The sequence below is a fragment of the Homo sapiens genome, chromosome 12 (assembly GCF_000001405.40).
Source record: "Homo sapiens chromosome 12, GRCh38.p14 Primary Assembly".
In the NCBI taxonomy this organism is placed as follows: domain Eukaryota; kingdom Metazoa; phylum Chordata; class Mammalia; order Primates; family Hominidae; genus Homo; species Homo sapiens.
Window position 1 is genome coordinate 109,226,276 of NC_000012.12, and position 25,097 is coordinate 109,251,372.

General features: G+C 46.7%; 1 protein-coding gene across 16 annotated transcripts in view, besides 2 other annotated features; it reads left to right on the forward strand.

Moving 5' to 3' along the window:
* The window catches only part of ACACB (acetyl-CoA carboxylase beta), a 157,038-nt gene that overhangs the window by 115,087 nt on the left and 16,854 nt on the right, over positions 1 to 25,097 (forward strand). For 14 of the 16 annotated variants that reach the window (XM_047428764.1, NM_001412734.1, NM_001412737.1 and 11 more), the window contains 14 exons: positions 1,096 to 1,214; positions 6,394 to 6,531; positions 7,473 to 7,572; positions 7,663 to 7,770; positions 9,038 to 9,094; positions 9,331 to 9,372; positions 10,890 to 11,105; positions 13,555 to 13,710; positions 14,803 to 15,006; positions 16,162 to 16,317; positions 19,351 to 19,473; positions 19,904 to 20,173; positions 21,331 to 21,428; positions 23,709 to 23,829. In XM_047428764.1, the coding sequence (XP_047284720.1) occupies positions 1,096 to 1,214; positions 6,394 to 6,531; positions 7,473 to 7,572; positions 7,663 to 7,770; positions 9,038 to 9,094; positions 9,331 to 9,372; positions 10,890 to 11,105; positions 13,555 to 13,710; positions 14,803 to 15,006; positions 16,162 to 16,317; positions 19,351 to 19,473; positions 19,904 to 20,173; positions 21,331 to 21,428; positions 23,709 to 23,829 (1,908 nt within the window). Of the gene's footprint in view, positions 1 to 1,095; positions 1,215 to 6,393; positions 6,532 to 7,472; positions 7,573 to 7,662; positions 7,771 to 9,037; positions 9,095 to 9,330; positions 9,373 to 10,889; positions 11,106 to 13,554; positions 13,711 to 14,802; positions 15,007 to 16,161; positions 16,318 to 19,350; positions 19,474 to 19,903; positions 20,174 to 21,330; positions 21,429 to 23,708; positions 23,830 to 25,097 lie in introns of those variants that run through there. The other 2 variants (XR_007063072.1, XM_011538265.3) reach the window with 2 other exon arrangements.
* Positions 13,135 to 13,636: an enhancer, noted in NCBI's record as "H3K4me1 hESC enhancer chr12:109677215-109677716 (GRCh37/hg19 assembly coordinates)". NCBI's record gives its function as "activates a minimal SCP1, AML or CMV promoter by ChIP-STARR-seq in naive H9 embryonic stem cells {active_cell/tissue: H9 hESC(naive)}" and the evidence as "EXISTENCE:reporter gene assay evidence [ECO:0000049][PMID:30033119]".
* Positions 13,637 to 14,136: an enhancer, noted in NCBI's record as "H3K4me1 hESC enhancer chr12:109677717-109678216 (GRCh37/hg19 assembly coordinates)". NCBI's record gives its function as "activates a minimal SCP1, AML or CMV promoter by ChIP-STARR-seq in naive H9 embryonic stem cells {active_cell/tissue: H9 hESC(naive)}" and the evidence as "EXISTENCE:reporter gene assay evidence [ECO:0000049][PMID:30033119]".

The window sequence follows — 25,097 nt, forward strand, 5'->3', positions numbered from 1 at the left end:
TAAATAAATAAAATAAAGTTACATACACAGCTTGTGTTATATTTCTGTTGGACAGCACTGCTCTAAAGCAGGGTTTGATAAACTATAGACCATGGACCATATTTGGCCCACCACCTGTTTCTGTAAAGTTTTATCAGAACGCGGCCAGGTACGGTGGCTCATGCCTGTAATCCCAGCACTTTGGGAGGCCAAGGCGGGCGGATCACCTGAGGTCGGGAGTTTGAGACCAGACTGACCAACATGGAGAAACCCCGTCTCTACTAAAAATACAAAATTAGCCAGGCATGGTGGTGCATGCCTGTAATCCCAGCTACTCAGGAGGCTGAGGCAGGAGAATCGCTTGAACCTGGGAGGAGGAGGTTGTGGTGAGCTGAGATCATGCCATTGCACTCCAGCCTGGGCAACAAGAACAAAACTCCATCTCAAAAAAAAAAAAAAAAAAAAGAAGAATGCAGCCACACCCATTCATTTACATGTTGTCCACAGCTACGTCCGTGCTAACAGCAGAATTGAGTAGTTGCAGCCAAGATGATATGTCCCACAAAGCCTAAAATATTTACTACCTATCTCTTACAGAAGTTTATCAACCCCTGCTCTAGAGTTTAGAGTGGATTTTGTGTAACTAGTAACACTCTGAAATATGAGCAAATTTGCTCTTAACTGCTGCTTAGAAATCTTTTTTTTTTTTTAATTGAGGAAGGATTTTTCTCTGTTGCCCAGGCTGAAGTGCAGTGGTGCTATCATAGCTCATTGCAGCCTCAACATCCTGTGCTCAAGCAATCCTCCCACCTCAGCCTCCCGAGTAGCTGGGACTACAGGCGCCTGCCACCATGCCTGGCTAGTTTTTGTATTTTTAGTAGACATGGGGATTTGCCATGTTGCCCAGACTGGTCTCGAACTCCTGGGTTCGAGTGACCTACCTGCCCTGGCCTTCCAAAATGCTGGATTGCAGGCCTGAGCCACTGCACCCGGCCTGCTTACAGATAGATATTTTAGAGGTCATTTCTGGTACCTGTTCCCCGTGAGTGCCCTCAGCTTTTGAGCACACTCTGCAGTGGCCCCTGAGAGAATGTCCGTGTGTTTCTGCCTTGTCAGGTTTACGTGCGGAGGGGCTACATCGCCTATGAGTTAAACAGCCTGCAGCACCGGCAGCTCCCGGACGGCACCTGCGTGGTAGAATTCCAGTTCATGCTGCCGTCCTCCCACCCAAACCGGTATGGAGTGGGACACACCCAGGGACGGCCTGTGTTTCTGTTCTTCCTGACCTCTGTCGTCCTGTCTCTGGAAGGACCTGGCAAGTGTGTTTGGGCACGCTGCTGGGGAGACATCAGCGATAAGCACTTCCCCTGTGGGAGCTCCCTGCAGCGCCATTTTCTCCCCTCTAACATGGTGATAATGCAGAGCCCACCTCCTACACCTGCACTGTTCAGTACAGTAGCCATGTGTGCCTATTTACATTAAAATGAATGCACATGGGCCAGGCGCGGTGGCTCATGCCTGTAATCCCAGCACTTTGGGGGGCCGAGGCGGGCAGATCACTTGAGGTCAGGAGTTCCAGACCAGCCTGGCCAACATGGTGAAACCCCATCTCTACTAAAAATACAAAAATTAGCCGGGCGTGGTGGCACATGCCTGTAATCCCAGCTACTGGGGAGGCTGAGGCAGGAGGATCACTTGAACCCGGGAGGCAGAGTGAGTCAGTGAGCTGAGATTGCCCCACTGCACTCCAGCCTGGGCGAAGAAGCGAGACTCCGTCTCAAAAAAAAAAAAAAAAAGAGGCCAAACACAGTAGTGGCTCACACCTGTAATCTCAGCACTTTGGGAGGCTGAGGTGGGTGGATCACAAGGTCAGGGGTTCGAGACCAGCCTGGCCAACATGGTGAAACCCTATCTCTACTAAAAAAAATACAAAAATTAGCCTGGCATGGTGGTGTGCACTGGTAATCCCAGGTACCCGGGAGGCTGAGGGAGAACTGCTCGAACCCGGGAGGCAGAGGTTGCAGTGAGCTGAGATTGCACCACTACACGCCAGCCTGGGTGACAGAGCAAGAGTCCATCTCAAAAAAAAAAAAGAGAAAAAACAAAGAATGCAAATGAGCCAGCCATGGTGGCCCACACCTGTAATCCTAGCACTTCGGAGGGCTGAAGGGGGCAGATCAGGAACTTGAGGCCTGGAGTTTGACACCAGCCCGGCCAACTTGGTGAAACCCCATCTCTACTAAAAATATAAAAATTTGCCAGGCGTGGTGGCACACCCCTGTAATCCCAGGTTACTCGGGAGGCTGAGGGATGAGAATCTCTTAAACCTGGGAGGCAGAGGTTGCAGTGAGCCAAGATTGTGCCACTGCACTCCAGCCTGGGTGACAGAGCGAAACTCTGTCTCAAAAAAAAAAAAAAAAAAAATTCAGCTTCTCAGTCATACTGGGTGGCTCATGGCTGCCATATTATTTGACAGTGGAGTTCTAGAACATTCTGTCATGGTAGAAAGTTCTAGTAGACAATGCCACCCAAGCCATTGGGAAGAGTCATGAGATAAGGCACATGTAGCATTTTAGACAGTGCCTGGCACAAAGGAAGTTGTTGACTGTAAGTGATCCCGGAGATGATCATGACTAACGCTGTTATTACCATCTAGTGGCATGCCATTGGCCTGGGCACTCTGCTCAGTGCTCCCACACTCTTTTATTTATTTATTTTTTTTGAGATGGAGTCTCGCTCTGTTGCCCAGGCTGGAGTGCCAGTGGCACAATCTCAGCTCCCAGATTCAAGCGATTCTCCTGCCTCAGCCTCCCGAGTAGCTGGGACTACAGGCGCACACCACCATGCTCGGCTAATTTTTATATTTTTAGTAGAGATGGGGTTTCATCATGTCAGCCAGGCTGATCTTGAATGCCTGACCTCAGATGATCCACCCGCCTTGGCCTCCCAAAGTGCTGGGATTACAGGCGTGAGCCACCGTGCCCAGCCCACACTCTTATTTTATTCAGCTCTTATCCTCTATCGGCCAAAAATGTGTTCTCATCCTCGTTTTACAGATGGGAGCCCTGGGCCCTCACCTGACCTAGGCTGAGCTGCTTGTGCACGTGGAGTGGGAATTTGAGCCCAGGCCACACTCTCACCTCCAAGTCCTTTCCACAGCATTCAGGGGCCCTCTGAGCCAGGTGTGAGGGCACCTGTCCTGTCTGTGTCCACTGTAGTCTGCTGTCCAAGAGCTGTAGTTCAGTAGATACCCTCAGTGTTCTCACCTGAGAATATCTTTTTTTGATTTTTTTGAGATGGAGTCTCACTCTGTCACCCAGGCTGGAGTGCAACGGCGCGATCTCAGCTCACTGCAGCCTCCGCCTCCTGGGTTCAAGCGATTCTCCTGCCTCAGCCTCCTGAGTAGCTGGGACCACAGTCATGCACCACCAAGCCCCACTACTTTTTTTTGTAATTTTAGTAGAGATGGGGTTTCACTGCATTGACCAGGTTGGTCTGGAACTCCTAACCTCAAATGATCTGTCCACCTCAGCCTCCCAAAGTGATGGGATGACAGGCGCCACCATGCCTGGCTCACCTAAAAATATCTGATGTGTCTGAGTTCCTCACTCACAGTCTTTTTTTCAGTCCATCTTGTTTCAGGACCCAAAGTATTAATACCATTTAGGTCAGGTAGAGTGGGATACCTTCTCTTAAAGTAATTATGTCTCCTTGGGATTCGAAGTGTTCTCTCTCACGCTCCCTCACCCCTCTGGTTTTAGTTCTTATGGGGGTGCCCAAGGCCTTACCTACGGCGGCATTGATGTCATTGTGATTTGGGAGTTCGGTTGATCAGATCTGTACAGGCAATAGGGTTCATGCTTTGGTGAAGCGGGGATTTTTCTGGCCTCTTAGGATTTTTAAAATAACTTTCTTTTCCTGTTGGTTTTAAGAAGAAAGATGCTGCTATGTTTTGGATGAAGAAAAGGGGGCTTCCCCACGAGGCACTGCCTTTCCTAGTTATTTGTTTTTACCCTTCTTATTTCCAAAAATAGGATTGTGACATTTTACCCCATTGAGAGAAAGGGGACTGACTGCTTGCAGCCTGGGGTCATTCTGGGGATTTGGAGAGCAGTGGTGGTGTAAGATATTTTGTAGCTGTCTACTCCTGAGAAGGACTCTTTTGATTTTTTTGTTTGGTTGTTTAGAGACAGAGTCTAGTTCTGTCACCCAGGCTAGAGTGCAGTGGTGTGATCATAGCTCACTACAGCCTTGAACTCCTGGGCTCATGTGATCCTCCCACCTCAGCTCCCTGTGTAGCTGGGACCACAGGCTTGCGCCACCACACCTGGCTAATTCTTTAAAAATATTTTTTTGCAGAGATGGGGGTCTCACTATGTGGCCCAGGTTGGTCTTGAACTCCTGGGTTCAAGTGATCCTCCTGCCTCGGCCTCCCAAAGTGCTGATATTATAGGCGCGAGCCCCTGTGCCTGGCCTTCTCTTTTGATCTTATTGTCCCAGCAAGTCAGCCCTGTTAGGAAGGGAAGGGCGGCTCTCCTGAGGGCTGTGGGTCATGCCTTGTGAGCTACACGTATATCCAGGTTATTGGTTGTGATTTTCAGTATGGGCACAGGGTCCTTTTTTGACCCAGAGAGACATTGAGGACCCTGGGGGATTCCTGGCCATCTAAGATTCTCATGATTGCTCTCAGTGCCAGAAATGTACTCTGGGCCTGTGAAGAGACCTTGCCTGCGGCTGCCCCCACCAACCAGCCCTTTAATGCCTCTGTAAAGGGCCATGAGGAATAAAGTCTATCCCCAAGATGGCCTGGCTTGGCCCTCAACACTTGTGTGTGTAGAGCCAGGCACATGGTGCTTTAGGTCACCGAGACCCAAGGGAAGGTCAGATGAGAAGTTGGCAGGGCTTTGTGCCAGCTGCAGCCTGGACCTGGACCTCTGTGCTGGGTGGGAACTGGCTACATCCCCCTGCGATGGGGCTGCTGTCCTAGCTCTGCCCACTGTTGCCCTGCAGGAAACTGACCATCACAACCAGACTTCTCCATGATTTTTTCCAGCAGAAGCAGGAAATCTATTTTTTTTTAACCTGAAGTCCTTCCATTTTTCAATGGGGACAGGTAATTCATGTTAAATGAATACATGAACACATGTTAATTCATGTATGTTATTAAAATGCTGCATGGACCAAAGTCATTCTGTGAGTGGCATTCAGCCACACTGCCACTGCAAGTTTGTGACCCCTGGATTGAGCTGTCGGGGAGCAGAGGGGCCATGATCGTGATTTCAGAGCACCCAACAGGAATGCACACACCTGTGTCAGGGTCCCCAAAAGCACCCCCAGGTTCGATCATCGCCTAGGAGAACTCACAGGTCTCGGGACATAGTCATGCTTATAGCTCTGACTTATTAGGGGGCAAGGATACAAAGCAGTTAGCCAAGGCAGAAGGCATCAGGGTGAAGTCCAGAGGAAAGCAGGTGTGCTGCCAGGGTCCTCTCCCAGTGGATTCACGCAGGGTGCACTTCATTCCCCCAGCAAGGAGTTGTGACAACACAAGTGAAGGGTTGTCTTCCAGCCCCGCACCAGGGATTGGTGGCTGGTCACATCACCCTCTGCTCTGCATCGAAATCTCAGGCTTGCAGAAGAAAGCAGGTGTTCAGCATAAACCACACTGTTTGTGCAAACAGTTGAGGCACAGTGAGCCCCCCTTGTCACCTTCAGGGAACGATAGGAACCTTCCCCAAGTCCAAGTTCCCAGAGGCCAGCCAAGGGCTGTCCTTGCAAGCAAGCAGGTCTCCTTTCTCAGAAGAGCAGTGTGGGGCCTGCTGTGCTGACTTCCTGCACACCATTTCATTACCCCTCCCGTATCTGATTCCAAGGCCCAATTCTAACAACCTCAGGTGGCCCATTGAGATTTGCTGCTGGTGAGCAGCCAGTTCTGGGAGCATCGTTGTCTAAACTCCAGAAGGCTGCTGACTTTGTCCCAAGGGCAAGTTTGATGGAGGGATTACAGGGAGCAGAGGACTGGAGTGTCCGTCAGGACCAAGCCTGACTGCCTCACCAGCTGCCTGGGGCTGGTGGATTTCTCCAGGAGAAATTGATGCTGGGAGTGTTTCTTCTCTGTGGTCAAGTTCAGCACTTGGGGCTCCCCTCGGGACTGTGTTGAGACTGGACTCTCATGCATGAATCATTGATTCCTACACTTGTTGAGCTCTTACTCTTCACCAGGTCCTGAGGGATCAGATGAGACCCTCCTCAGGCCCCGGCCCCAGCCATTGTCTCATCCCCTGCCCATTTTAAGCCCCCATTTGGAAGAGCTCTAAATCTGGTCCAGCTCACTGAAGCTTCAGGAGTAGGAGCAGCTCGTAGAGTTGGGTCTGCAAGCAGCTGCCTCATCCCCGACTTGCCATCACCTTACAGGATGACCGTGCCCATCAGCATCACCAACCCTGACCTGCTGAGGCACAGCACAGAGCTCTTCATGGACAGCGGCTTCTCCCCACTGTGCCAGCGCATGGGAGCCATGGTAGCCTTCAGGAGATTCGAGGACTTCACCAGGTACCCAGCATGGCCCGGTCTCCAACACCCTGAGCATGGGGGCTGGGCAGACTTCCCTTGAATCCCCCCCCAATTCACTGGACAGATGGGGTGGGAGAGACCCAGACACGTGGCACAGCATGTCAATAACAACAGAATAATAATAGCATTGTAGCCAAGAGTATGAGCCTACATGTCAGCTTGCCTGGCACAGCACATCAATAACAACAGAATAATAAGAGCATCGTAGCCAAGAGTGTGAGCCTGCGTGTCAGCTTGCCTGGTTTGAATTCTGGCTATGTGCTTTCTAACTAAGAGACTGAGCAAAATATTTTTACCTCTCCATACCTTCGTTTTCTTATCTGTAAAATGGGAATAATAAAGGACTCACTTCATAGGTGCGCCATGAGAATTAAATGAGATAACATATGTGAAATAACATATTTAAAGTATAATTAGTATGCAGATAATATAGTGACTAAATGTTAGCTCTCAATAGTTACTGTTATAGTCTTTTTTCAGCCTTTCACTGTGTGTTCTGCTTTGTGCTTGGAGTATCTTGTGGAATTTTCACAACAGCCTCATGAGGCATAGGGATTACTCTTATTACCTTTCTTTGACTCGGGGTGAGGTGAGGTTTCTAGGATCTCCCAGCCAGTAAAAATGGGAGCCAAGAGTTGATCTCAAGCCCAGCTGATGCCTGAAAGCGCTGGAATCCTTCCCTGTATTCCTGATCACAGATCACTTAGGTTCATTCTTCCCTTTTGGGAAGGACCCCATCACGGGTGCTCTGGACAAAGTAGACAGGGAACCTCCTGAGCTCTGTAGAGTTGGATAAGATCAAAGGGTGTTGGCTGGGAAATTGGGAGGGTCTGGCGTTCCCTGCTGCCTGGCTTGGAAGCTTGACCTCATCCCCATGGGTCAGCAGCCCCTCAGCCCTCCCTCTCTACCCGCACCCCCAGAAATTTTGATGAAGTCATCTCTTGCTTCGCCAACGTGCCCAAAGACACCCCCCTCTTCAGCGAGGCCCGCACCTCCCTATACTCCGAGGATGACTGCAAGGTAAGCGTCTAAGCCCAGGGAGCAACCTGGGGAGCAGGTGGGCCGTGGCCCCCAGGCTTTCCAGCCCTACCCCTTGCTTCTCCCTCTCAGAGCCTCAGAGAAGAGCCCATCCACATTCTGAATGTGTCCATCCAGTGTGCAGACCACCTGGAGGATGAGGCACTGGTGCCGATTTTACGGACATTCGTACAGTCCAAGGTACTCTGGGCGTGCCTCTGGTTTTGGTGGGGGTTCTTGGAGAAGGAGGAGGGGCTGGGCTCGTCGAGGCGGCCCTTGGGGAGGCAGGCGTGCTGAGTACTTCAGAGCCACAGACCTGGCTTCCCACTCTAGCTCTGCTCGCCTCATAGCTGGCGACCTTGGGCAGATGTGGCTGAACGTGGGGTCAGCATTTCTCTCGCTCACGGTGTTGCAATGATTCAATGACAAAGTATATACACGGCTTAGCCAGTCCCAGGTACGGAGGGCACACCCAATAAATAGTTTGGAGATTTTCTGGGAGTGTTTTTGTTGGAATAATCCAGAAACTGGCAGTTTTAAAATGGCTACTTACATTGATGACCAAGTGTGCCAATAACAGCAGGTTGCTCTGTAAGCCTGTGATGCCATTGTATTTCAGCCTGGGGGACAGAGCGAGACCCTGTCTCAAAAAAAATTATATATATTTACAGTATACAATGTGATATTTTTTAATTATCTTTTTAATAACAGCTTTATTGAGACATCATTGACATACTACACAATTCACCCATTTAAAGTGTGCAGTTTTGCAGCCATAAAAAAGAATGAGATCATGTCCTTTGCGGGGACATGGATGAAGCTGGAAGCCATCATCCTCAGCAAACTAACACAAGAACAGAAAACCAAACACCGCATGTGCTCACTCATAAGTGGGAGCTGAACATTGAGAACACATGGGCAGAGGGAGGGTAACAACGCACACCGGGGCCTGTCGGGGGGTGGGGGCCGAGGGGAGGGAACTTAGAGGACAGGTCGGTAGGTGCAGCAAACCACCATGGCACATATATACCTGTGTAACAAGCCTGCACGTTCTGCACATGTATCCTGTTTTTTTTTTTAGAAGAAATAAGAAAAAAAGTGTACAATTTAATATATTTTTAGTATATTCACCAGGTTGTACAACCATCACCAGAATCAATTTTAGGACATTCTCATCACTCCATAGAAAAACCCTGTACCTGTTAGCAGTCACTCCCCTCTGTCCCCAACCCAAAAACCCTCTCCCCACCACAGCCCTAGGCAACCACTAATCTACTTTCTCTCTATATAGATTTGCCTATTCTGGACGTTTCATATAAATGGAATCAGATCACAGGAGGTCTCTTATGATTGACATCTTCCACTTAGCATAATGTTTACAGGTTCATCCGTGTGGTAACATGCAGCAATACTTCAGTTCCTTTTACGGCCAAATAATATTCCATTGTGTCTTTGGTTTTTAATGCAGAAAAATATCCTTGTGGATTATGGACTCCGACGAATCACATTCTTGATTGCCCAAGAGGTTAGTTCACAGTTCATCTCTATGAGTCTTTCCCATTCTCCAAGCCTTGGTGTGTGCCATTTATTTGATATTTATTTTGTAGATTTGGGTGAAAGAGATCATTAGAAAGGAGAAGGATTTCCAAATGATTCATTCTAGAAGTGAATGTAATCGTTTACAATCACTAAATAAGGATGTACATATTTCAGTGCGTCTTGCTTGATTTAATTGTCTTGTGTGTGGATTTCTTTTTGCAGAAAGAATTTCCCAAGTTTTTCACATTCAGAGCAAGAGATGAGGTATGGCCAAAAGTAATGATGTTTTCTCTTCTCTAGCATCTTGTTTTATTTTTTAAGAGATGGGATGGGGCCGGGTGTGGTGGCTCAAGCCCGTAATCCTAGCACTTTGGGAGGCTGAGGCAGGAGGTTTGCTTGAGCTCAGGAGTTCTAGACCAGCCTGGGTTATATAGTGAGACCCTGTCTCTACAAAAAAATTAAAAAATCAGCCTGGCATTGTGATGCAAGCCTGTGGTCCCAGCTACTTGGGAGGCTGAGGTGGGAGGATTGCTTGAACCTGGGAAATAGAGGTTTCAGTGAGCCAAGGTGATTCCACTGCACTCTAGCCTGGGTGACAGAGTGAGACTCTGTCTCAAAAAAAAGGAAAAAAAAGAGATGGGGTCTCACTATGTTGCCCAGGCTGGACTCGAACTTATGGCTCAAGCGATTCTCTTGCTTCAGCCTCCCGAATAGCTGGGACTATAGGCACATGCCACCGTGCCTCCCAGCTCCCTGGCATCTTTGATATTCATGAAGAATATAGTCTGCAGTCCTTAAGGCATCCCCATATTCAAGAATGTAGCAACTTTTGTGTAGACTGCAGTCTTCCTCTGGGATTGTATTTCCATTGAGAGCCCTCTGTTCCCTGCATGGCACTCAGACCTGAGAATCTTGCCCTTTCAGCCTCACTACAGGTTTCTGTCTTGCTTGAATAATTTTCAGTACTTGCTGATGTACTCAGTAAGACATTTTTTCCAAACTGTTTTTCTTATGCTCGTCTAGAACAGTGGTTGGCAAACTCACTTGCAGACCAGCTGCCTGTTTTTACGAATAAAGTTTTATTGGAACACAGCCACACCCGTTGGATTCCACATTGTCTACTCTGGCTTTCACTCTAACAGTAGCAGAATTGAGTAGTTGTGACAGAGCCCGTATGATCCATCAGCCTAAAACATTTACTCTCTGGCCATTTAAGAAAACGTTTACCGATCCCTGTTGTAGAACAGGTAGGTTTATTCCCAGCACTGATTCAAGACCCCACCAAATTCAGCATTTTGCATTTTAATTTATCCAAAGCTTTATTTTTCTAGCTAAGACACATCCTTTTCTTAATGTCTTCATTTTTTTTTTCAGTTTAGTTTCCAGTACTGTCAGTTGCTTTCTTTTCGGGGACCAATTTCCACCAAGAAACCAGGGGTTAGTGGCTTCATGAGAATTGCCACAGGCTGTGACAGATGGAGAACAGCCTGGTCACGCTGGCAGGTGATAGGGACTAGCTAGGTTCCCCCAGGAGCCAGCGCTGCACCCAGCACAACAGGCTTGCAATGCCCATAGCTCTCCTCAGATCTTAGCAAAACCCCAAATATCTGGAGCCCTGGGGGTAGCTTACAATTAGGGAACATCATGAATGCTGCATTCCTGAGTGCCAAACCCATGGACACCAGGGGTCTGCAGAGTAGGGTGTGGACCAAGCAGGGACGCAGCTCCAACGTCACGCTGTGTGTGTATGTGTCTGTCTTCTCTCTCTGGTCCGCCTACAGTTTGCAGAAGATCGCATTTACCGTCACTTGGAACCTGCCCTGGCCTTCCAGCTGGAACTTAACCGGATGCGTAACTTCGATCTGACCGCCGTGCCCTGTGCCAACCACAAGATGCACCTTTACCTGGGTGCTGCCAAGGTGAAGGAAGGTGTGGAAGTGACGGACCATAGGTTCTTCATCCGCGCCATCATCAGGCACTCTGACCTGATCACAAAGGTAAGATGTCGCAGAGCATTTCTTCCTCTCTCAGAACCTGGCCCTCCCTTCCTTACATTCCTGCTCTGTGCTGGGTCCTGGGCTGCATGCTGGGGATGGAGAGTACACCAACACCCAGGGTCCTGCCCTTGCTATGCTCCAGTCCAGGGCAGGAGGCGGACAGCAAAGTGGCCTGTGATCACGTCCAGGCTGGTGGCACTTGGATCTGTTTCTTGTATTATGTGGGTCTCTGCGCATGAGAAGAAAATTTCCAGGATAGAAAAATACTGGTTTGTTCAGGGAATTTCTTAATATTTGCTGACTGAGTGATCGTTTTCCATTGTTTCTTGCATTTAGAAAAGTAATCCATGGCCGGGTGCAGTGACCCATGCCTGTAATCCCAGTACTTTGGGAGGCTGAGGTGGGCGGATCACTTGAGGTCAGGGGTTCAAAACCAGCCTGGCCAACATGGTGAAACCCTGTGTCTACTAAAAATACAAAAATTACCTGGGCGTGGTGGCGTACACCTGTAATTCCAGCTACTCAGGAGGCCGAGGCATGAGAATCGCTTGAACCTGAGAGGCGGAGGTTGCAGTGAGCTGAGATGGAGCCCTTGTACTTCAGCCTGGGGGATAGAGTGAGACCCTATCACAAAAAAAAAAAAAAAAGAAAAAAAGAAACAGAAGTAATCCATGATTATATTGTGAAAATTTTAAATAAGACTGAAAACGATTTTTAAGAACCTAGCGCAAGGACCGAGAATCCTGTCACTGAGGGGCCAGCTTAGTTGTTGACTGTTTCTAGACACAATTCCGTCCCTGAAACCTAGAGTTGTAGGCATAAGTTGCAGATAAGAGCTGAGAGTGGACAGATCATTTGAATATATTATTCTTTAATTGGTCAGTCACTTGTGGACCTCTTTCATTGTTAATAAAGAGTGGTCCACCACATATTATTTCCTTGCATGGATGTACCGTGTATAATTTTTTTTTTTTTTTTACTAATCCCCTATTGATGGAAACATATATATATTATTATATATATAATTATATATAATAATATATATAATATATTATATAATATAACATATAATATACATAATATAATATATAATATGTTATATAACATTATATATACATAATATAATACATATTATATGTATTTATATAAATATATATTTATATAAATGTATATATAATTATTATATATATATATTTTTTTGGAGATGGAGTTTTGCTCTTGTTGCCCAGGCTGGAGTGCAATGGCACAATCTCAGTTCACTGCAACCTCCGCACCCCCGGGTTCAAACAATTCTCCTGCCTCAGCCTTCTGAGTAGCTAGGACTACAGGCACACCCCACCATGCCCAGCTAATTTTGTATTTTTAGTAGAGATGGGGTTTCTCCATGTTGGTCAGGCTGGTCTGAAACTGCCGACCTCAGGTGATCTGCCCACTTCGGCCTCCCAAAGTGCTGGGATTACAGGCGTGAGCCACCACGCCTGGCCCTATTGATGGATATTAAGCTAACTGCAGTTTTTTTGCTACCTGTCAGCTAGATGTTTTATTTTTATTTTGATACAGAGATTTGCTCTTGTCACCCAGGCTGGAGTGCAGTGGCGTGATCTTGGCTCACTACCACCTCTGCCTCCCGGGTTCAAGCGATTCTCCTGCGTCAGCTTCCTAAGTAGCTGGGATTATAGGCGCCCACCACCATGCCCAGCTAATTTTTGTATTTTTAGTAGAGACGGAGTTTCACCATGTTGGCCAGGCTGGTCTCGAACTCCTGACAACTGATCCACCCATCTCGGCCTCCCAAAGTGCTGGGATTATAGGCGTGAGCCACTGTGCCTGGCCAAGCCGTTTTAATAGGTTTTATTATTGTTGAGGTATGGTGAGGCCAACAGATAAGGAGACAACTGCCATCAAAAAGACAGTTTATTACTCATAGTTCCCAAGAAGAAGGGGTTTTCCCTGCCATGGGGCCACATGGGGAGGCTCTGGGGTTGGTCAGGCAGCAGAGGGACAGAGGGGAAGACATGGAAGACGTGGACGAGAGCCTTGATTGTGGTTTCCTGGAGAAGAAAAAAGTGAGGCTGAGTAAACAGGTTTAGGATTGGCTGTGAATCATCTCAGCAGACCCTGGCATATAGAAGCTGTCTCTGGTTCTCAGGAATCTGGCCCTGGGTGATTAGAGCAGGTGGTTTGTGTCCCCAGGTATGATCCAGGGTCAGCAAGGCCCCAGGTGTCAAAGTGTCAGAATGCAGAAAATAGGACACATGTCAATACACTCAACAGCTTTGCAGTCCCTTCGCCTCTGAGAGGCAGGGCTCTGCTGTTCTTGCCTGGCACACTTTTTGGAGGAGGGGAATGTTTTCCTCCTGTCTCTGCCTCTTTGGGGCTGAGTTTCCAGCCAGCTGGGAGTAGGCCTGCACCCCTGGCCTGAGCAGCTGCCCCTCCCACTCTTTGGCAGGAAGCCTCCTTCGAATACCTGCAGAACGAGGGTGAGCGGCTGCTCCTGGAGGCCATGGACGAGCTGGAGGTGGCGTTCAATAACACCAGCGTGCGCACCGACTGCAACCACATCTTCCTCAACTTCGTGCCCACTGTCATCATGGACCCCTTCAAGGTCTCGCCTTTGCAGGGGGGCTCTCACCGGGCTCTGGGTTCACCCTCTGAGCCATGCTGCTTTGGGGTATTGTCTCTTGCCACTCAAGACCTGGGTTCCAGGATGAAACCATGCGTATCTGAGCCTCAGTTGCTGCGGGAGGAGAGCAAACCTTCTGCCATTCAATTCTAGAGCTATGTTTTAGCCATGCCCTGCACGGGAATGCTTTACTTTAAGGATGACAAGCATGCTCAAAATGTCTTTCAAAACAAAATTTTGTCCTTTCCCTGGTTCCAGGCTGCGCTGGGGACTGCATGTGGGTGGGGAGAGACGTGAGACCGTGAGGTCTGTGGCTGAATGTTCCCTGTCAGGTGGCTCTTCACGAGCAGACAGACTTTTATGGTGGTGATTCTGGAATGAAAGAAGCCCCACTTGTAATCCCAGTACTTTGGGAGGCTGAGGTGGGTAGATTGCTTGAGCCCAGGAATTTGAGACAAGCCTGGGCAACATGGAGAGACCCTATCTCTACTAAAAATTTTAAAAATTAAAAAATAAAATATTAAGATTATTAATCAAATTAATATTAATATCGATATATTAATATTATTAAAATATATAAATGTATTTTATTTTATTATTTAATAATATATATTATTAAAAATAATTAATACAATAGTATTATTAAAAAGAGAAGTCCTGATACATCCGTTTGGTATCTGGGGGATTCAGGGGACCCATGTGGAGGCTCTGGCCTCACTAGTTCAGGTAGTTCCAGAAGGAAGCAGTGCAATGGCTTGAGTCAAAGGCATGTAAAGATAGTATAACATAGCAGTACTAGTTCAGTCACTTATCAGCCTCAGTTTCCTTATCTGTCAGTGAGGGATTAGAAAAGCTCGCCTCTCTTGAGTACTTACGAAGGCAAAATGAGGTAGAGTTTTAAATGCTTAGCAAGAGCCGTTGCTTGTTATTAGTTAATACTTTTTGTTGGATACACACTATGTCCCAGGCGTTTTTGCAGTCAGTATATCTCATCCTCTTATTAGTATCAGTGCTATTGCAAATGTCCTTGGGATGTCTTGGCCCTGAAACTGGAATTGCTGTGTTTTGGGGCAGATCGAGGAGTCCGTGCGCTACATGGTTATGCGCTACGGCAGCCGGCTGTGGAAACTCCGTGTGCTACAGGCTGAGGTCAAGATCAACATCCGCCAGACCACCACCGGCAGTGCCGTTCCCATCCGCCTGTTCATCACCAATGAGTCGGGCTACTACCTGGACATCAGCCTCTACAAAGAAGTGACTGACTCCAGATCTGGAAATGTAAGGCTGGCCCGCGCCGTGGGGGTCTAAGTCAAAGCAGAAGCAGGCTGCTTGGGCCATCAATTTGTAGATTAAGATGGCATTTGGAGGCGGTCTTGCCTTGCTCTCCCATGTCATTCTGGGTTGGGGTAGCCCCCTCTGAGTGTTATGTTAAATGTGTTAGCCTTTGAATCTTGGTTTTTCACTCACCTAAAAAGGAGAGTGAATCTCCAAGTTTAATCCATTCTGTGGCCATGTTGGATTTTTGATAGAGACAAGGTGTCACCATATTGGCCAGGCTGGTCTCGAATTCCTGACTTCAAGTGATCTGCCCGCCTCGACCTCCAAAGTGCTGGGATTATAGGCGTGAGCCACCACGCCTGGCCATATGGCCATATTTGGGATAAGTTGTGCACTACTGTGGTTGACTGTAATGCAGTCCTCAGATTGGTTCACTTAGGGAAATACTTTCCCAACCATGTTCTAGGACAGACTTTTGTAAAGTGAATTAAATGTTCTTTTGACTGCCATTTAAATTCCTATGTGTGTACATAAAAATATACATATATATACACGCCATTTTTTAAAGAGATATTGCCTAGACTGGGCCTGAACTCCTGGGTTCAAGCAATCTTCTGGCCTCAGCCTCCCAAGTAGCTGGGACTACAGGCACATGCCATTGTGCCTGGTCTATGCACTTTTTATTTTGGAGTAATTGAAGACTGAAGACTCTCAAGCAGTTGCAAAATTAGTACAGAAGAAAAAAAATAGTGCAGAGGATTTTCACCCAGTTTCCCCCAATGGTAATGTTGATTGAACTTCACCATTGCACATCATTAAAACAGGAAATTGACATTGGCACAGGACTGTTCGCACCAACACTGACCACGTTCGGATTTCACCAGCGTTTCCATGCATGCCTGTTGTTGGGAGTGTGTGATGCCTTGATCACTGTATTTTTGGAACTGCATTCCACAGCCCCTGTTGTCCCTTCTTGTTCTGGCCCTCCACAGTGGTGAAGAAGGGAGTTTTACGTAGCCCAGGCACTCACTTTGTCATGCCATGTGACATGCTTTGCTTCCCCCACCTGCATTTTCATTGAGGACTGGGCAGAAATAAATTGGGGGAGATGTGTGATTCTCTCTCACTCTCTGTTTTCCCTCCTTTCTGGTCCAGATCATGTTTCACTCCTTCGGCAACAAGCAAGGGCCCCAGCACGGGATGCTGATCAATACTCCCTACGTCACCAAGGATCTGCTCCAGGCCAAGCGATTCCAGGCCCAGACCCTGGGAACCACCTACATCTATGACTTCCCGGAAATGTTCAGGCAGGCAAGTCCGGCGGCTCAGACGCGGTACCCCCTGGGTCCTCCCAGCAGACTCCACCAGAACCAAAGCCCATCCTTAATTCTCCTTCTAAAGACCTAGTCTAAAGGACAAGGTCTTGCCAGGTGCGGTGGCTCACGCCTATAATCCCAGCACTTCGGGAGGCCGAGGAGGGAGGATTGCTTGAGCCCAGGAGTTGAAGAACCCCATCTCTACAAAATATACAAAAATTAACCGGGCGTGGTGGCGCATGCCTGTAGTCCCAGCTACTTGAAGGCTGAGGCAGGAAGGATCACCTGAGCCTGGGAGGTCGAGGCTGCAGTGAGCCATGATGTCACCACTGCACTCCAGGCTGGGTGACCGAGTGAGACCCCGTCTTCAAAAAAAAAGAACAAGGTCTGCATTGAAGAAAAAGAAATGAATGTGTTGAGAACGACTTCATAGTATTTTTCTCCAAATAAGACTAATTTATCCCAATGATAAAAGTCATAGGATATAGAAACTTCAGAAAATAAAGGAGGTTGGAACAAAGAAAAAATAATTCCTAGTCCCACACTCTGATGACAAATTGCTTAACATTTTGATGTGTTTCCTTCTGGTCTTTTTAATGGTCATTTATTAAGTACCTGCTACTTACCAGGCACCATTCGAAGTCTAGACAGCTGTGGGAAAGAGGAGGGGGTCACTGCCTTGAGTAATTTTTAGTCTACTCTTAAAAAATAATGTTTTGGGTTGGGCACAGTGGCTCACGCCTGTAATCCCAGCACTTTGGGAGGCTGAGGCAGGTGGATCATTTGAGGTCAGGAGTTTAAGACCAGCCTGGCCAACATGGTGAAACCCCATCTCTACTAAAAATACGAAAATTAACCAGGCGTAGTGGCAGGCACCTGTAGTCCCAGCTACTCGGGAGGCTGAGGCAGGAGAATTGCTTGAACCCGGGAGGTGGAGGCTGCAGTGAGCTGAGATGGCCCCACTGCACTCTAGCCCTGGTGACAGAGCGAGACTCTGTCTCAAAAACAAAAACAAAAACAAAAAAATAATGTTTTATTATGTTTTTCTGATGATTAAAGTATACATAGGAAACTATGGAAAGGTAAGAATAAGGAAGTAAAATTCTATTCATATGTAATTTTCCCACCATCAATGCCTGAAAGAACATTTGGGTGCATTTTCTTCAAGTATTTTTTATGCCTTTATATGTTTATGCCCTAGGGGCTTTAAAGGAGCCTGAACCACTGACATTGGTGATGTGAATGTCTCTTCATTTTCCAGGATTGCTTTGGAATGACATTATATATATATATATATATTTATTTATTTATTTATTATACTTTAAGTTCTAGGGTACATGTGCACAATGTGCAGGTTTGTTACATATGTATACATGTGCCATGTTGGTATGGGATCTAATTAAACTAAAGAGCTTCTGCACAGCAAAAGAAACTACCATTAGAGTGAACAGGCAGCCTACAGAATGGGAGAAAATTTTTGCAATCTACTCATCTGACAAAGGGCTAATATCCAGAATCTACAAAGAACGCAAACAAATTTACAAGAAAAACAACAACCCCATCAACAAGTGAATGACGTTCATGAAACCAAGGTCAAGGACCTTCCAGTGTAGGCAGGAAGCATCTGTTCCTACCTCTGCCTATGCCTCATGCATAGAGGATATGAAAGAGTAGGAAAAGCTGCTCTTTAGAGTAACTCGGGCCTCAGCTCGAATGCTGGATCTGTCCCCTTGCTTCCTGCTGTCCCTAGCCAAGTTCCTTCACCTCTCTGGGCCTCAGTTTCCTCTTCTGTAAAATAAGAATAATAACAGTACCTACCAAAAGTTGTTGGAAAAGTGTATGTATTCAGTGGGCGCTTAATAAGTGGAAACTTATGATTAAGAATGTCATTGTCTGTATCCTTTTGCCTTTGACCTCAAGAGCTATAAGGGAAGAAACATGACTGAACCAGAAGCAAATCCATCGTCTCTTTTTTAGATAAATCCATTGTCTCTTTTTTACAGGCATGAGCCACCATGCCTGGCTAATTTTTTTATTTATAGTGGAGACAGGGTTTCACTATGTTGGCCAGGCTGGTCTCAAACTCCCGGCCTCAGGTGATCTGCCTGCCTCAGCCTCCCGAAGTGTTTGGATTACAGGCATGAGCCACCACACCCAGCTGTCTGTCTGTCTGTCTGCCTCTATATCTATATCTATGTCTATATCTATCTATTTATCTATCTATCTATCGAGAGAATGGAAAACTGAACAGCAGACCAGAGCTAAATTTATCAATATGGATAAATCTCTCAAACAAAGAGGAGTAGAAAAAGTAATTTGCTGCCGGGCGTGGTGGCTCACGCCTGTAATCCCAGCACTTTGGGAGGCTATGGTGGGTGGATCACCTGAGGTCAGGAATTTGAGACTAGCCTGACCAACATGGAGAAACCCTGTCTCTACTAAAAATACAAAATTAGCCAGGTGTGGTGGTGCCTCAACCCGGGAGGTTGAGGCAGGAGAATCACTGAATCCGGGAGGCAGAGGTTGCGGTGAGCTGAGATTGCGCCATTGCACTCCAGCCTGGGCAACAAGAGAAAAAAAAAATAGAAAAAGTAATTTGCGGAAGGATGTGTACAGTGTGGTACTCTTTATTTAAAGTTTGCAGTGCAAAACGATATTGTATGTTTCCAATGTATGCATACAGGATAAAGGAAAATGAAAAAAAAAGCATGCATAGGACTGGGTAGGCACTGAATTCAAGGGAATGGTCACCTGTGGGTTGGAGTTGGGAGGAAGAATGAGCTGGGGCTTCAATCGCATCTTTCTTCTTTCTTTCAAAAACTTTAAACAACTATGGAAAAATCAAGATTTGACAGAGCCACTGGATGGGTGCTCATATTTAAATATGCTTTAAATATTTCATGATTCAAAAAGAGAGAGTGAACTACAGAATTCACCCTGGAATCATGACAGATCATCTCTGTCTGGGAAAGATAGTTCTTCCCTACTGATGACTTCAAGTTTTTTCTCTTTCCTCTTCTCTCCCCAGGCTCTCTTTAAACTGTGGGGCTCCCCAGACAAGTATCCCAAAGACATCCTGACATACACTGAATTAGTGTTGGACTCTCAGGGCCAGCTGGTGGAGATGAACCGACTTCCTGGTGGAAATGAGGTAATAGCTCAGCGGAGCCTAACCCCTGGCTGGAGTCACCCCCTTAAAAATATTTTTGGGCCAGGTGCAGTAGCTCACACCTGTAATCCCAGTGCTTTGGGAGGCCAAGGTGGGTGGATCACTTGAGGTCAGAAGTTCAAGACCAGCCTGGGCTACATGGTGAGAACCTGTCTCTACATAAAATTTTAAAATTAGCTGTGTGTGGTGGTGTGCTCCTATAGTCCCAGCTACTCGAGAGACTGAGGCAGGAGTGATTGCTTAAGCCCAGAAAGTTGAGGCTGCAATGAGCTGTGATTGCACCACTGCACTCTGGCCTGCGCAACAGAGCAAGACCCTGTATCTAAAAAAAATAATAATAACTAAAATAAAATAAAAAGTTTTCCCCCAAAGAAACAAACTCATTTTCCTTGTGCATTCATCCCCTTGCCAGGTGGGCATGGTGGCCTTCAAAATGAGGTTTAAGACCCAGGAGTACCCGGAAGGACGGGATGTGATCGTCATCGGCAATGACATCACCTTTCGCATTGGATCCTTTGGCCCTGGAGAGGACCTTCTGTACCTGCGGGCATCCGAGATGGCCCGGGCAGAGGGCATTCCCAAAATTTACGTGGCAGCCAACAGTGGCGCCCGTATTGGCATGGCAGAGGAGATCAAACACATGTTCCACGTGGCTTGGGTGGACCCAGAAGACCCCCACAAAGTACGTCGTGAAACTGGCGGGGCAGGGTGATTCTGCTCAGCTACTACTGTATTTTCAGTGGGAGTGCTAGCACCTGCAAGAGGTGAAAAAAATCTCACTTATGTATAAAGCACAGATGTACATGTAGTGTATAAACAGGCATACAGTGTATCAGTGATACTAACATTTCACTGTGGCGGGGGGGATGGTGATGAGAAAAAAAAGATCTAAAAAGGCTCCTTAACGGGGATAATGAAAAAAGTCTATAAACCCTGAGCTGATATACACTGAGCGCTCCTGAATGCAGTGTGCACTGAGAATGCAGAGGTGATTGTGTCAACTCCCTGGCCTCATAGCGTTCTTAGAATTATGGCTCACACCTGTCATCCCAGCAACTCAGGAGGCTTGGGTGGGAGGATAGCTTGAAGCCAGGAATTCATGACCAAGCTAGGTAACCTAGGCAGCATAGCCAGACTTCGTCTCTACTAATGAAAAAACTAGGTGAGCATGATGGTGCCTGCCTGTAGTCAGCCTCAGCTACTTGGGAAGTTGAAGTGGGAGGATCACTTGGAGCCCAGGAGTTCAAGGCTGCAGTGAGCCATGATCATCATACCACTGCACTCCAGACTGGGCAACTGAGTGAGACCCCCCATCTCAAAAAAAAAGAAAAATCTTTGGGGAGTTGTATAGATACCAGCTTGCCATAAAAGGCAAGATGAATGAGGGAAGCGCACGCATTCTGTGATGTGAAATGACAGGGGACAGTCATCCTTTCCATTCAGAGCATGCATTCTCGGGGGCGATATTGCCCACTACCCCCAAGAAGACAGAAAAATAATTTTTGGGGTGGCAATAAAATAGTTTTTAACATATATACATATACAGAGTATGTAAATAGTGGTTAAACAGTGTATCTTGAAAATTAAAATTTCATGTTGGGGTGCTGGCAATAAGAAATAAAAATGAGATAGTCCTTAGAGGAGAGCTTAGCTCAAAGCAGAACTTCAGTTTATGGCTGTTATTAATACGGTATTTACATGAGATGTGTTAATGTGTCATTGACATGTTACTAACATGTTATTAACATCCATCCCTACGATGTTCACATTAAGAAAAAAAAAACAGTGGCTTTCAGTGCAGGGAACTGGATTCGTAGCCTCACTAAAGTATTTTTTAAGGGATTTAAATACCTGTACCTGACTCCCCAAGACTACACCAGAATCAGCTCCCTGAACTCCGTCCACTGTAAACACATCGAGGAAGGAGGAGAGTCCAGGTAAATAACTTATCAGGTAGCTCCTTAATTTTGCTCATGGTTAATTTCAGCTGTCTTCTTTCCTCGGGGCTTGTGGCGATATTTTCCAGTGGGGTGGTGGTGTTTGTATGATGGGAACCAATGCCTGTTGGGGGCACTGATGCCTTAAACATTTGTTAAACTCTCCAAGGTGAGTCCATCCTTGTCATTCTAAAATGAGTGACTCCTTTCACAAAAAATAGCACGTCATGTAGGGAGAATGAGATTGGATTCTCGTGAATCTCCTAGGAGCCGCAGGCTCACATTTTGTGACCAAACTGATGCAGCGGTGACTTGGCAAACTGGGAAGGTATGGGTGGGGCAGAGAGAGGTCTGTTCTTCGAGAGCATTCAAAGGCTACTATCTTTTCCAGGACAAGTTATGTTTTTCTCAGTGGGATTAACTGACTCAGGATTTCCTAGACTGGGTTTTTTGCAATGTTAGTGACAAGCTGGGGGGAAATTCCATAGTCAGATGAGTTTGGGAAACACTGGGTTAAATGAGATCTCATAAACATCTTTATTGCAGACCTTCTTAGTACCTGTAGCATGCTGTATTAGTCAGCGTTCTCCAGAGGGACAGGACTAGTAGGATATATGTATATATGAAAGGGACTTTATTAAGGAGAATTGACTCACATGATCATAAGGTGAAGTCCCATGATAGGCTGTCTGCAAGCTGAGGAGCAAGGAAGCCAGTAGTGGCTCGGTCTGAGTCTAAAAGCCTCAAAAGTAGGGAAGCCAATAGTGCAGCCTTCAGTGGCCAAAGGCCTGAGGGCCCCTGGCAAACCACTGGCGTGAGTCCAAGAGTCCAAAGGCCGAAGAACCTGGAGTCTGATGTTTGAGGGCAGGAAGCTTCCAGCATGTGAGAAAGATGAAAGCCAGAAGACTCAGCAAGGCAGCTTACTCCACCTTCTTTCACCTGCTTTTTCTAGCCGCGCTGGCAGCTGGATGACTGGATGGTGCGCACCCACATTGAGGATGGGTCTTCCTCTCCCAGTCCACTGACTCAAATGTTAATCTCCTCTAGCAACACCCTCAAAGACACACCCAGAAACAGTACTTTGCATCCTAAAGTTGACACTTAATATTAACCATCACACATGCTAAAGTGCATTGTGAATCTCTAACAGAGGCTGGCGGGACAGTGTTTCTCATTATGTGGCCCTGGAATTTTTGATTGATTGATTGTGAATGGGTTTCCTCTGTGTACCCCCATCTCTCTGTAGACCGTTGGAGGAATATGGGCCGAGGGTGATATTTCACTGAGACAGCCCCTGAACAGGCAGATATCTTTGGTTGTATAAACCAAAAAGTATCTGAGACAGGTCTCAATCAATTGAGAAGTTTATTTTGCCAAGGTTAGGGACACATCCAGAAGCAAAGAACACGGAATCATAGAAACCGTCTGTGGCGTGTACCTTTCTTCAAAGATGATTTGGAGGGCTTCAGTATTTAAAGGAGAAAAGCAGGCTGGAGGGGAAAGAGGGAAGTTCTGGTAATCACATGTTGCAGGAGAAAAGGCGCAGGCAGGGGAAGTCAGTTATGTATTCTTCCTGCGCTCAGTAAGTCAGCACTTTCTATAAGATAAGGTGGACATAGAGGAACTACCTGTGGAGATATTTCAGCTTTTATCTGTATCTATCTGCTTACTAAAGAAACAAAAGGAAAGGCAGCTTGCACAACTCAGCTTCAGCTTAAATTGTTCCTTTTGGCATTGTGAATCGTGGTCCTAGTTTTTATTTTCCTTTCACAGATGGGAGCAGTGTGATGATTTATTTATTTATTTGAGACAGAATCCCGCTCTGTCACCCAGGCTGGAGTGCAGTGGTGTAATCTTGGCTCACTGCAACCTCCACTTCCCAGGTTCAAGCGATTCTTCTGCCTCAGCTTCCCAAGTAGCTGGGATTACAGGCGTGCACCACCACGCCCAGCTAACTTTTGTATTTTTAGTAGAGATGGGGTTTCGCCATATTGGCCAGGCTGGTCTCAAACTCCTGACCTCAAGTAATCTGCCCGCCTCGTCCTCCCAAACTGCTGGGATTACAGAGCAGGGTGATGATTGTTGATGCTGCACTTGCCCTTTTAGAAATCTTAGCACTCATTTTGAGGGTTCTAGATGCCAATTTCATTTTGCCTCTGGATGCTTTGTCTGCTTCCAATCTCTCACCTTGCTGCCCAGTCAGTCCCTTCTTGGGAAATGCATCCACCTTGGATTTTTTGGGGCTAGAGCCCAGCCTTTAACCTGTGCTTGCTTTTGAAGATACATGATCACGGATATCATCGGGAAGGATGATGGCTTGGGCGTGGAGAATCTGAGGGGCTCAGGCATGATTGCTGGGGAGTCCTCTCTGGCTTACGAAGAGATCGTCACCATTAGCTTGGTGAGTCTTCTTCTATTTTCTCTTACTTTTCAACTTTCCATTATAGAAACTTTAAAATTGTCACAAAATTAGAGAGAATCAATAATAAGCCCCATGTGCCCGTCACATACCTCCTACAGTTACCACATGCCAGCCCACTGATATTTCCTCAATCTCACCCCCATCCCCTGCACCTGTTTTAGAGTATTTTAAAGCCAGCCCCCATCATGTCTTTTCATCCATAAATACGTAAGGGTAGATCTTTAACAGATAATGACTCTCACCCTCTTCCCCCGGTTTTTAAAAACATAACTGAAATACTAATATTACACCCAACAGAATCAGCAATATCATTGAAACCCAGTGTGGTTTAACAGTTATCTCAAAATACCCTTTTCTAGTGGTTTGTTTGAATCAGGGTCCAATCTCATCTTATTTTCAAGGTACTGAATGTTTAGAAGAACTTTTCTCTGACTTTAACTGGCATATAAGGAGTAGTCCCCATCCCATCCCCATGGCCTTTCCAAAAATGTTTTCTGTTTCTAGTAGTAGTACTACTGTAGTAGTAGTAGTAGTACTAGTAGTAATTCTAGTACTAGCAGTGGTGGTAGTAGTGGTGGTGGTAGTAGTAGTAGTGGTAGTAGTGTTTGTGGTGGTGAATCTGTATGGGTCTAAGGCAGAGTGAGAGACCGAGGCAAGTCTCTCAGCAGGAGTGAAAGTTTATTAAAAAGTTTTAAAGCAAGAATGAAATGAAGTACACTTGGAAGAGGGCCAAACAAGGCAACCTGAGAGATCCAAGTGCCTCATCCAACCCTTTTGAGGTTTTATGCATTGGCATGATTCCAGGGTTTGTGTTTCTTCTCCCCTGATTCTTCCCTTGGGGTGGGCTGTCTGCATGCACGTGGTCTGCCAGCACTTAGGAGGGGCCGCATGAACAGTGTGTTTACTGAAGTTGTGTGCATGCTCACTTGAGGCTTTCCTCCTTTACCAGTCGAGTGTTCCTAGAAGAAGGGCACGGTACCAGATAAACTCTGCCATCTTACCTCTTAGCATGCATGCTTGAGCCCACCCACCCAGCTCCTGAGATCTTATGGGGAAGCTGCTTATCACTAGCTTCAGGTGTTTTCTATCTATCAGGAGATTGCCTTTCCCTGGAGCCAGCTGTGACCAATATTAATTTTAGAGAGACACTTTAGCAACTGCCTAACTATCACCTGATGGTTGCCTTCCTCTCCTGCCCTGCTCATGTCTGCTTAACTACCTACTCTAACAGCAGCAGCAGCAGGAAT